Consider the following 11420-nt stretch of genomic DNA (forward strand, 5'->3'; position numbering starts at 1 on the left):
CAAGAGGGCAGATCTTTAAATAACCTCACTCCCTACCAGAGTAGCCTCAAACTTTCTTGCCCATAGGTGAAAATAGAGATTTTCAGTTAATGAAAATGTAAATATCTGACATTCATGTAACTTTGTATCTCATTCACACCCAATTTCTATCATCTTACAAAATATATCAATTCGAGCAAACAGGATTTTTTCTTATATAGACTTTTTTTAGCATTTTTATCGATTCACCTAAAATGTTTCCATAATTTGCCCACAAGGCAGAATGAACATAGACTGTTCTTGAATATGATACTCAAGCTTCAAAGCTGTAAAATACTCTCTTCTTTCATAGGTACTGAAAGGTTTGTCTTTGGCTATGTTTTCTAAAAGCAACCCCCTTCAAAAATATTAGAAAATAAATGAAAATAAAATGCTAGTATTAATTATGAATGAGAAACTTAAACTGATAAAAGTAAAAATTGTTCGACATTTTTAGAGCTGTAATCTTCAGTAAAACAGCTAACAACTGATTGAGAGTTAATTATAAGGGGTTTCCCCATAGAACATGGAAGAGTGCAAAGGAGTACTCAGTAGCTGTTTAATAGCAAAGTTTCTACCATTGAAAATGACAAAATCCAGGAAGAGAACACAAAACAAAGAAGAAAAAATGCTCTAAGTCTAGGACCTCAAGAGCCATACAGGTAGCAAAATAGAAATGGTTATTTCAAGCCTGAGCTCTGCATCTAACTAATGATGTCAACAGAAGTGTTTACCTTGTGTTGTTGTTTTGCAGAATGAGTTAATATATTGGGACCTACTTTTAGGAAACTCTAAAAAATGAGTAGACCAAAAATGTGAGGCAGAGAAGCAAATATCCTGACCCCCTGTTTTGATAGAAGAGGCTTATCCAGAGCAGAAAATTCTGTTGAAGAGCTTGTCCTTTAATATGAATGAGAGTTCTTATTTATTGAATGAATTGTTAAAATAACATTTAGCAATTTAACAAAATCACAAATCAACACAGAGAAGCTGTATCTTGTTCTTTTTTATTGAACAATAATAAACATGTCCTTTTAAAACAAAACCTAACAGCTTATGCAGCTTTACATTCAAAGGCCTTCCCACACACATTCACAACTCTGTTGGCCAACTTCAAGAATAAAATACAGGTAAATACTGAAATAATTCTTAAATAAGTTCTTCACTTCAAATAAAATACTTCTGAGATATTTCCTAAGAACATCTAGTACAACAGTCCTGTTTGTGCTAAGATTCTTTCAAATATACTCCTAATTCCACTTATCAACCAAGTTTAAAAGAAAAAAATATGAAAATAAACTATATTTTAAAGTTGACATGTTTTCTGCTGAAAATTGATTCTTCTTTTACAAACCTCCTAAAAACTTATTTTCTACCTTAAATTGAAAATTCACCTAAGTCACAGCACTTATGTTTAAATAAGGACCCTCTGTTGCTCATTTTTTGACATTTTTGAAATCCAGAGTGACTCTGTTTTTCTTATGCTTATTAAGGTTATTATTACTATAATTATGGATAATAAATTTATCATGCCTCAGATGTTTGAAAACCTTATAGAGTCATAGTTTTATTCTAACCATTTTCAACAAATAATACTAGATTTCTTTCCTCAAGAGGATGATAAATATGGGTAGGGAAGATGACTTGCACTAACACATTTATTTATAAAAATATATAAATATTTACCTTCATACACACACAAACCACCAGTGGGTAAAATACTTCTTAGATTTATCTCTGAGGTGGCATACGTTAAAGCTATTTATGGAAGTGTATGTGTTTCCTATGCCCCAGAACCGTCCTTCAGATACAGGTAACCCGGGAACTACATCAGCAGCCTTTTGAAATTGCTCTCAGTTCAAAGCTGTTTGTTACTCAAATTTCCATAAGCTTCAAACATCTTACTTCCTTCAGGGGTTTTCTGGTTGTTTTATTTTGACTTTTCCCAAAGCCAAAAAAAAAAAAAAAAGCACAATTAAATTCTAGAGAAGCTACCTACCAAGGAAGGGCTAAATATTTTATTTCCCACTCCCACCCCCTCCCCATCTTCTCCTGCTCTTAAGTCTTCATTCCATATCCCAACATTAATGTACATCAAAGTCAAAGAACTAATTTGACTCACTGCGGTCTTCAGCTTTGCCTAGCTCCCTCTTTGGTTGACCTGTCTCCACGTAAGATTACCTAAATTGCATTTTTAGTTCTTCAGTGTTACTATACACACACATTTAACAAATCTACATGCATTCGAATATTTAACAAACACATACAAGTGTTCAGTCATATGGATGTTATGGATTGTAAGTATCCTACTTTTTGTTTTCTGGATCCACCATGCATCACATTTGGTCTTCAAAAATTACATGTCCTTATGCTATAATCTAGAAAGTTCCTAAAATGTTGGCTGTGTGTTGAACAATCACGAAAATAGAGCCTTCTCTCAGAAATCACAGCCGGGATCAGCGTGGATTTAACCATTTCCTCATTACGGGAGACCCGGCAGCATTCTCTTTCACAACTTCTTCTCTCACAATATTGCCATCTCCAGATGCCATGTCATGCTCTGAAAGTAGACGGAATACAAATCATGTCCAAACATCTATAGCTCAAAGACAACACAGTTTTGCTTTATTTTTGTTTTACATGGAATTTACAATGAAATCTTTAATCAATTTAAGATTCCATGCTAACTGTATTCACTGCTCTATATCAGTGAGCACCTCTATATACAATAGCACCCCTTGAATTACTTATCTTTGTATACCTATCGTCACCTGACATTATCTTCTACATGTATTTGTCTTTTTTTCCTGTGTATTATTTCACTCCACCACTAGAATTCCAGTTTCACAAAGGTAGGGACTTTATTTTGCTCACTGCTATATCTCCAGCACTTAGGACAGTGCTTGCCACATAGTAGGCACTTAATAAATACTTATGGAATAGGCAAATGTTGTACAAACAGGTCTCAAGTTAGATTCTTACACTAACTGGTATGAAAGACAGATTAACTTTTGCTGCATCCAGAAGGCAAAAGGCAGACCAATGGGTAGAACGTTCATAAAGACACTTCTCACTCTACATATGAGAAAAGTTTGTAATATTTGAAATTTGCTAAAATGAAATTTTCTACTTCAAGGAGTAGTGAGGTGTGCTTGCTTTGGCAGTGCACATTCTGATGTGGAATGCTTTAAGAAGATTAGCGTGGCCCAGCAGACGAATGTGTGTAAGTCCATGAAACATTCCAGATCTTACTCCCCCAAGACCCTCGTACACAAAAACTTACTTGTGAATTCCCAACTTGGGAAGCTCACTGCCAAAAAAAAGAACACCAAGTGGAACACTGTGGACAGGAAGCACATTTGACAAGAGTGCTGTAGCCAGCAGGTGGAAAGTTGGAGAAGACAAGCTCGTGCTCTGGGGGTCCTAGTGCTGGTGAAGCTTGCAGCCATTTAGCCTGCTCTCAAAGGCTGGGCCCAAACAGGTTTGTGCAGAGGTGATGTGAAGCCTGTGTCAGGAGTGAAGCCCAAGCCTTCTCCTGTAAACTCCAGTGCATGAACCTGGAAGTCTCATGTAGTCTCAAAGACACATGTAGACTACAAAGAACCCTAGGCAGCCTCCCCAAGAGGTCCTTAGGGTTTTCTGCTCTCCATCCTGAACCTGACTAAGGTTTACCAAGATCACACTAAAAATCATCTTTTGCTGGTTGCACCTTTAGCTAATGAAAGGAAATACCCTAGGTCAGAAAAGAGAGAAACTGACTGCTTTTTTCAAATATTTCTGATAAGAATCTCAATGCCTAACTTTGATGTGGAAATATTTTTGTGTAACCTATAATGTAAGTATTGTTATGGGCATCACCATACTTAAAACTAATAATTCACTTAAAAGCACGATATTTCCGCTTCATTTTAATGTGTTTAGTTGACCCATACATAAGAAGGAGGTAAAATTAGAAAACAAGCACCTTTGCCAAATAGTTTATATTTTATTAACTTGAAATGCAAAAGACCAAAAGCAAAAACTAAATAAAATGGACTTGAATTGTTATTTATAGTTGTGGTGGGAAAAAGTATATCATTTGTTGATACTAGCCATCTCTGTGACTATATGTTGGGCTTATTATTTATTTATTTTTTATAATTTTAAATACAGTTTTTAATTGACAAATAATAATTGTATACATTTAGGGTACAATATGATACTTTGATATATATCTCCACTGTGGAATGATGAACTCAAACTAAGTAGCATATCCATCACCTCATATACTTATTTTTTGTGATGGGAACATTTAAAATTTATTATTTTACCAATTTTGAAATATATAAGAATTATTAACTACAATCGCCATTCTGTGCAATGGAGGCCTAAGCTTTAGTGATGTATGTTGCTTTAAATGAGCTACTTTCAGTTTAATGGAACTCTCCTGTACTGGCCAGCTATTCAACAAAATAAACAAATATGTACATAGCACCATCTCATAGGTTGTGTATTCCTCACATTCTAACACCTGTATAAGAAATACACACGGACTAACAAGCAGCACGTATTACTACAGTTTCATTCATTTCCAAAATTTCAATCACATACTATTTCTTATCCTCTCCAAAATCCATAAAAACACACACTTGGAATTATTACACTTAAATGCTTTCATTTGGTTAAAAAAAAGAAACGTTCTATATTTTCTATCTTGACTCTTAAAGCTTATCCAATAAATTCCTCACAGTACTTTTTCTATGTGAAGTTGGGAGATAAATAGTTTTGTCTAGTAAATATATAAAACAGATCACTGAAGAATTTAAAGAACTTTGTGTATCTCAGTTGGTTATTTTTTATTACAGATTTTTGGTAATCAATCATATTTATCCTCCTATAAATCATATTTAAACCAGGTAAACTTTATGAGAAATTATATGTAAACCTCAAAATTATTGATGGGCTCTTTTTAGAAAACAGCAACAGCAACCAAACTCAGCTACCACCCACCGTTCCCCTGAGTAAAGCAAAGGAAATAAAATCATTCCAATCCACATCTTATTCTACTCACAGATATTTTCTAAGTTATTCACACTGAAATGAGACTATTCTTCCAATGCTTATACCAGAATCAGTGCTTACCCGTGAGAGAAACAAATCTGTTGGAAGACTTGGTTACTGAATATTGGAAGAAGGGGAATTTCAGGCATTTTCCCGTCCCCCTGTCACAGATGCCTGACTGGCAGTTGCAGGTCTCTCTGCAATCCATCCCGAAGGTGCCGTAGGGACAGTCTGGGGACAAAGGAAAGGTTGGAGAGGACGCTGCTTGTTGTAAATACGTCTCCATCCTAACAGCCCTGGGTGCATAGCCTTGCGATTTGAACCAACCTCATGAACCTTGACTGTAAAGTAAAATCCAATTCTCCAAACCCAGGATTTGAAAGTTGAAACTTTGAGTCATAAATATGAAATCACACATTAAGAACAGATAATGGATGCCTCGGGCTTAGTGTTGTGATGTAAAGTTAAGTTGAAGACAGCTACACACAGCCAGTCTCCTTGGACCAGTCTTCATTCTGGTGATGTTCTGCTTAGATACCAATAAATTCTCACAGATGACCTCTGTAACAGCTCAGCAAAGGTGGGAAATTGAACAGACATATATGCATCAGCTCCTCAAAGAGTTTTTAAAATGTGATGCTATCTTTGAATCTACTGTATTCACAGATAATTTACTATTTTAAGTGTATAGGAAAGGGCTTCAAACTAACCAGGGAGAGAGCTATCATCCTAGCTCACCATGAAGCAATCAATCTTCCATCTGCTCCAACCCTTATCAAGTTCCTTATTTGTCGAAACGGCATGTCATACAACTTGCCTGACTCCCTCAGTAGTTAAGAGGGCTCCCTAGTAAAATCCTCTGCAAGGCTAACATGCAAGATGCTAAATGAGCAAGAAAGCTCAGGGCTTATACACCCTGAGGGTTTGTACACCTACCAAGAACTAGAAGCTTTTAGACCTCCAGTGCTTACACTTATGCCAAAACATCCTACATTGAAATAAAGAGGACAAAGTCGTTTATTTAAAATGCATAAAATTATTTAAAATGCTGTTTTTAGGATAAACAGCATCTCAGTAGACTAACCAACCTTTAAAAGCCAGCAGAATAGATATAGAATATTCTCTTGTTGTGAAAATACCTTGTAAATGTACAATCACAGGTGGGTAAAGAACAAATTGTGAGCCATCTGAGTCTCTAGCAGTCTAATACTCCACTAACTGACCAAGTAGATCATCAATGAGCTATCTTTTTTTAAAGAGATCTATGAGTGCTCTTTTCAATATGGTTCAGATCACAGAGGAACCTGGTTTTGAACACTGTTCTCTTTGCTGGGAAGAAGAGATCTTAAAAAGGGATCCTGCAAAGGCCTGTTCCAGAAAAGCACACAGGATTAGGATTTGACTGTGCCTGCAGCGATATTGAAAACTAAAACTTTAGCCAAATTCCCAGAGATACTTCTAGTGTATCCCCTGATGTACTGAACAGTGCTGGGCAGATAGTAAGTGTTCATTAAATATGTGTTGGCTGCTGATTGTTAATCTGGGCAAGATGTTCACAGACATCTGAATATTTAGAAGACATTTGGATACGCAGCTGAAGTTTACAGTTTTCACGTGGATGTTCTTTTAAAAAGCTGAAGAAGGGAGATGATTGCCAAATGTATTATCTCTATCTCGAGTTGCTAAGGCTCACAAAGTCTCCTATTTCCAGCAGAGAGAAAAATGCTTAAAACTAGATTCATCAGCAACCTGAAGAAAGCCAAAAGAAGCAATCTTAAAGATCTTTTTAGTATCTTGATCATTCAGTAGAATACTACAGTGCTAAAGACTCCAGATGCCACACAGCTTGTTTCTTTGCCCATATGTAATGTACATTTACAATCACATGTACAAAGGCATATTATGCCAAGAGAAAAAGCAATCCACTGCATATACATGCTATATCATAAGTATGATTGTGTTAACCACTTCCTCCCTAATTTCCTTATGTGAAGTACTGTTTTCTTGGTCAATAAGCCCCATAATTTACAAAATATACAGATCCTATTCAGTTGAAAGAAACATGCATATGTGTTCACCAAACAAAATATTTTCTCAATATTCTATTTCTTATTGTATATAAACAAAAATAAACTAAGCAAAAAATAAAACTCTCCTAATACTTTAAGAATTTGTTTTTTTAATTTTGTATGTCTTGCAAATTAAAAGATGATTAATTTATACATTATATGTCTAAGAAGTAGGAGAATTAATGAGATTAGCACAATACTGGATAAATATTATTCATAAAAAATGTATTAAATACATAAAACATAATAATTATTTAGAAATTTCTCAGTCCTTTTTATAATTTTGAAAGCTTCCTGGTATTACACAACTGATGGATGGGGTTATAGCATGTGTTGCTTCTTAATAATAGCTCTTCATAATAAGATCATGAGATATCTATACGTAGAGTATTTTTAAATCATCATTCTTTTTATTCTAAACATTTTTAAAATGTTAAATATTTTAAACTAGTTACTATGTTTAAAATAAATTCTACAAATGCTTAACTACATTATTTAGCTAAAATTTCAACCGACGAAGTTTTTCTTTAAGTGTACAAGTGGTCAACCTCATTCTTTACAGACTTCCAGTTTTTATTTTTCTCTATTGTTATTTTTCCTTGTCTTAACACCATCTGCTATTTTTCCAGATGACCAAAACCTTTATAAAGTCAGATGAGGTTTGTTTTATGCTTCAGGGGACCCTCTTTGAAGAGTGAGTTATTTTGTTAGATGACTTAAGCTCACTCTATTCCATAAAGTGCATTTGTGTTTATCAGAAATATTTGATCTTGAGAGTGGCCCTCCATCCTGTGGACCCTTTCAAGATCAAAGAATCACTAAATCTGGGGGCTAGAAACCATTCCAAGAGGTTATCTAGTGCAGACCTTTGTAATCGCTGCCTCGCAGAGGAGAGAGCACCTAAGCCATCCTTAACAGATTACCTGTCAAGTTTCTAAAGTTTTCCAGAAAAGGAGCCAACACAATCTTCCATTGCAGCTTTCTTTTTGCGATCTCCTAAGGCAACGAGTAAAATGCCACACTTCTTTCTGTGCCTTCCTGCACACTGGTTTCAGTTGCTACTTGGAGCTATCCTTCAGTCTCTACCCATGACAATACCTGTGTGGTGCCTTGTCAAGAATCCACCTGCCTTTTCCCTCTTACTCTTGAGGAGCAAAGCCACCTCACCTCCCAAGCTGGCTAAAAGCTCTCAGCATGCCCCGGGAGGGGAGAGGTAAGGGGTCACTCTTTACCTTTGCAGATACCAAACTCTTCACCAAAAGGATCCTCCCCATTAGAAGGCTGACACCTCAGCCCCGGGCCACACTTCATGCCATCCATGCCTGAGACTGTGCGGTAGCAAGTTTCTCCCCGCCCTGCAGCGCACACTCGGCAGCAGCCACAGTCGTCGAGCACTGTCCTCTTGCAGCGCGGGCTGCTTTTGCACTCACTGCTGTCACAGTGTTGAGGGCAGTCCACCGCATAATTATTGCTCCAGGCGGCCACCAGGTGTGCAGGCACGAGGAGCGTGGTCAGCAGCAAGACGCTCTTCATGTTTCCCAGCTGCCTCCGGCTCGGCTCTCCAGTCGTGGTCTTTGCTGGTGGGAAGCAGCCGTCCAAACTGGTAGCTGAGCCTCTGCCTACACGTTTATGAGTTTTATACACTGGGTTGCCCGCATGCTTTCCCGTCATCAATTTCCTCAACCCAGCAGCAGCGCTGTCCTCCTGCCAGGCTCTCTTGTTTTGGTTTATGAAATCCAGGATGAAGGCTGGATTAACACGCTGCTGCCATCCAGGAATTGAAAAGCCCAAGCTGATGTCATCTGTTATGTTTAGATGGTTGTTTTGCATGAGGACTGAAAAACTCACTCACATCCGTCTCAAGGGCTCAAGGACGTCTGTGAAGGAGGGATAAAGAAGGTTGCACACCCTCCTTCAGGACGGGAATTGTTCTGACCCTGGCATATCACTTGAGGTGTAGCTTTGTCTCAGAGCCTCTGTAGTCAGGAGGAAAATGATATCAACATGAATCATCAGGACCGAAGAAGCTTCTTCAAAAAAAATAATAAACATTTGGTATTTCCCCTCAACAAATAGCTATGAGATCATTTGAAAGAAGAAAGGGTTATATTGTGTCTTTTCAATACTTAGAAGAAAGAAAATATTTTGATAGGGCTATTTTTTAAGACCCTCTCTTCCTTCCTCTCACCCCTCTCCTCAAATGTTATTTCTAAAGCAATTCATGTTACATATATCTAAGCCTATTGTGGATATAGCTGTGCTTCCAGTACAATGTGGAACTGCCTCTGAGAATTTCTTTTAAAATCAATACAAAAAGCCACAAGAGAGGTAAGATCCTTTCGGCACTGCTTCTGGGTTACTCAATTCTGGAAAAACTTATCAGTTGGACTTCTGATCCAAAACTTCCTCAGGGGAAGGCTCATCCATCACTAAGTCTGCTTGTCCAATGACGGAGTCCACCCAGAGCCCTTCCCCTCACCTCCTGGCATCTATCAGAGCCCTCACTAAAAACTGCCAAGCGCGGCAGCCAGCCCAAGGCAACAAGTGGCTCAGCAGGAAAATCAGAACACAGCCCCCAAGAAACAAGTCACAGGGAAGGGAAACATTACCCCTCAGGAAACAAGGTCTGCATGCTAAGAGGGTTACCGTGCCTAGGTCCCTCTGGGAAAACAGAGTAGCCCTCTTAAAATATCAACTGTGCCAGGGTCTTATTAAGTAAGGTTAAAGAGGAGAGAGGGGAGTTCTTACACCAACCACATGCCGAATTCCATGCCCCCACCTCACTTGTCAAAAGAGATATAGACTCACTGTCACTTAGTAAATAACAACCCAGTAAAGTGGGTAATTCTTGGTCTGTCACAAATGAGCTGTAAGAAATTCACAGGACTTCTCTTGGCCTCAGCTTCCTCTTTTGAGAATTGATGGTGTTAGGCTACCTGACCTCTAAAATTCTTGTTTCCCATAGAAGATGAGGCAGAGCGGGCATTGGATGTAACTTGAAGATCGGCTTTTGCAAATGCAATTTTAGGGGGACACAGGGAGTAAATTCAGAATACAGAGAATTGAGGCAGTAGGAAATGAAAGCAAGAGTTTTAGCTTTCAAATTTTCCAAATTTTTCATGACAATCCAATTTGAAATACTCTATCTCCCCAGAAGCACTTACTTAGCAGGTGGCACACTCTGATGTTTTCAGTAATGGGTAATATTTGTTGAGTTAATAGCTTAAACACTTTACATGCATTAACTCATTTGCACCTCATCACAATATTATGAAGTGGCTGCTATTATCATGCTTATTTTTTAAAAGAAGAAACTGAGTAAGAAAGAGGTTAATTTGCCTAAGGTCCCTATATTGAAGGGATGGATGTTAGTCTAATGTCAGAGCCACATATTCTATTGCCTATTACAATACATAATTGTGCTTTCATGGCCAATAGTTCCAATGGCCTAGGTCGCAATTTAGGCTGACCCTAGAAAATGTCCCTTGTTACTGAACACCACTTTCTGAGGAGTAGTTAACTGGAATAGTGGTTAATAATAATATCTAACCTTTACAGAGATCTGACTGTGTGCCAGATGCCATGCTAAGCAGTTTATGTAGATTACCACATTTAACTTTCAAAACAACCTCAAGAGCTAGGTGCTATTCTTATCCCCATCTTAGATATGAGAAAACTGAGGCCTAGAGAGGGTAAGTAACTTGTCCATCATCACACAGTTAGCAAATGGTGAAGCCAGGACTCCAGCCCTGAGACCAACAAGCTCTGGAGACTGGATTAAGGATTGTAAAATCAAATACATACAGGTGCCAAACAGGTGCCCAAGGTGGGTGACATGGTAAGCTATACTAGATGTAATACAGAAGGAATGGAGTGGATTTCGTCCTCCTGAATAGCACATAAAGACATGAAACTCTTCCACTATGGAAGATAAAGGGAAACCAAATTGATAATACCTTCAGTAAATGACAACTAAACAAATGTAAGTTGAGAGTACCAAATCCAAATAGTAAACCAAACTACAATGCACAGGTAAGTGCAGAAAATATGCCCAATAGAGTTCACCAGTGGTGGAACTATCTCAATACACAGTGCCTAACAACTCATTTTAGGGGAACCTTCAATCCCTCCAAGACCCAACAAAAACCATTTGTCCCAACACAATCCCTGTAAGATTTTTATCTAGTGATTTCTGTCTTCCCCAGAGCCTTGAGCCCAGATCAATGAATTCCATTAGGAAAGTTAGCAATGACCACAAAGGGTTAGGAAATGGGAGCACGAGCAACCAAGGAG

General features: G+C 37.8%; 1 protein-coding gene across 2 annotated transcripts; it reads right to left on the reverse strand.

Moving 5' to 3' along the window:
* Positions 1–1009: 1009 nt before the first annotated feature.
* On the reverse strand, positions 1010–8736 carry ESM1 (endothelial cell specific molecule 1). Of its 2 annotated transcripts, NM_007036.5 has the most exons (3): positions 8360–8736; positions 5140–5289; positions 1010–2578 (listed from the first exon to the last, which is right to left on the reverse strand). In NM_007036.5, exons 1-3 carry the CDS (start codon positions 8658–8660, stop codon positions 2475–2477), a joined length of 555 nt encoding a protein of 184 aa, NP_008967.1. In that variant the 5' UTR covers positions 8661–8736; the 3' UTR covers positions 1010–2474. The 2 variants fall into 2 exon arrangements, with proteins under 2 accessions (NP_008967.1, NP_001129076.1); NM_001135604.2 differs by lacking the exon at positions 5140–5289.
* Between the last annotated feature and the right edge of the window lie 2684 nt (positions 8737–11420).

The sequence above is a fragment of the Homo sapiens genome, chromosome 5 (assembly GCF_000001405.40).
Source record: "Homo sapiens chromosome 5, GRCh38.p14 Primary Assembly".
Taxonomy (NCBI): Eukaryota; Metazoa; Chordata; class Mammalia; order Primates; family Hominidae; genus Homo; species Homo sapiens.

Coding starts and splice junctions, on each gene's coding strand:
- ESM1 (NM_007036.5), bottom strand. CDS start 8,660: ATGAAGAGCGTCTTGCTGCTGACCACGCTCCTCGTGCCTGCACACCTG. Junction 5,290..8,359: donor AGAGTTTGGTATCTGCAAAG/GTAAAGAGTGAC, acceptor CTTTGTCCCCAG/ACTGTCCCTACGGCACCTTC. Junction 2,579..5,139: donor CAGATTTGTTTCTCTCACGG/GTAAGCACTGAT, acceptor GTCTACTTTCAG/AGCATGACATGGCATCTGGA.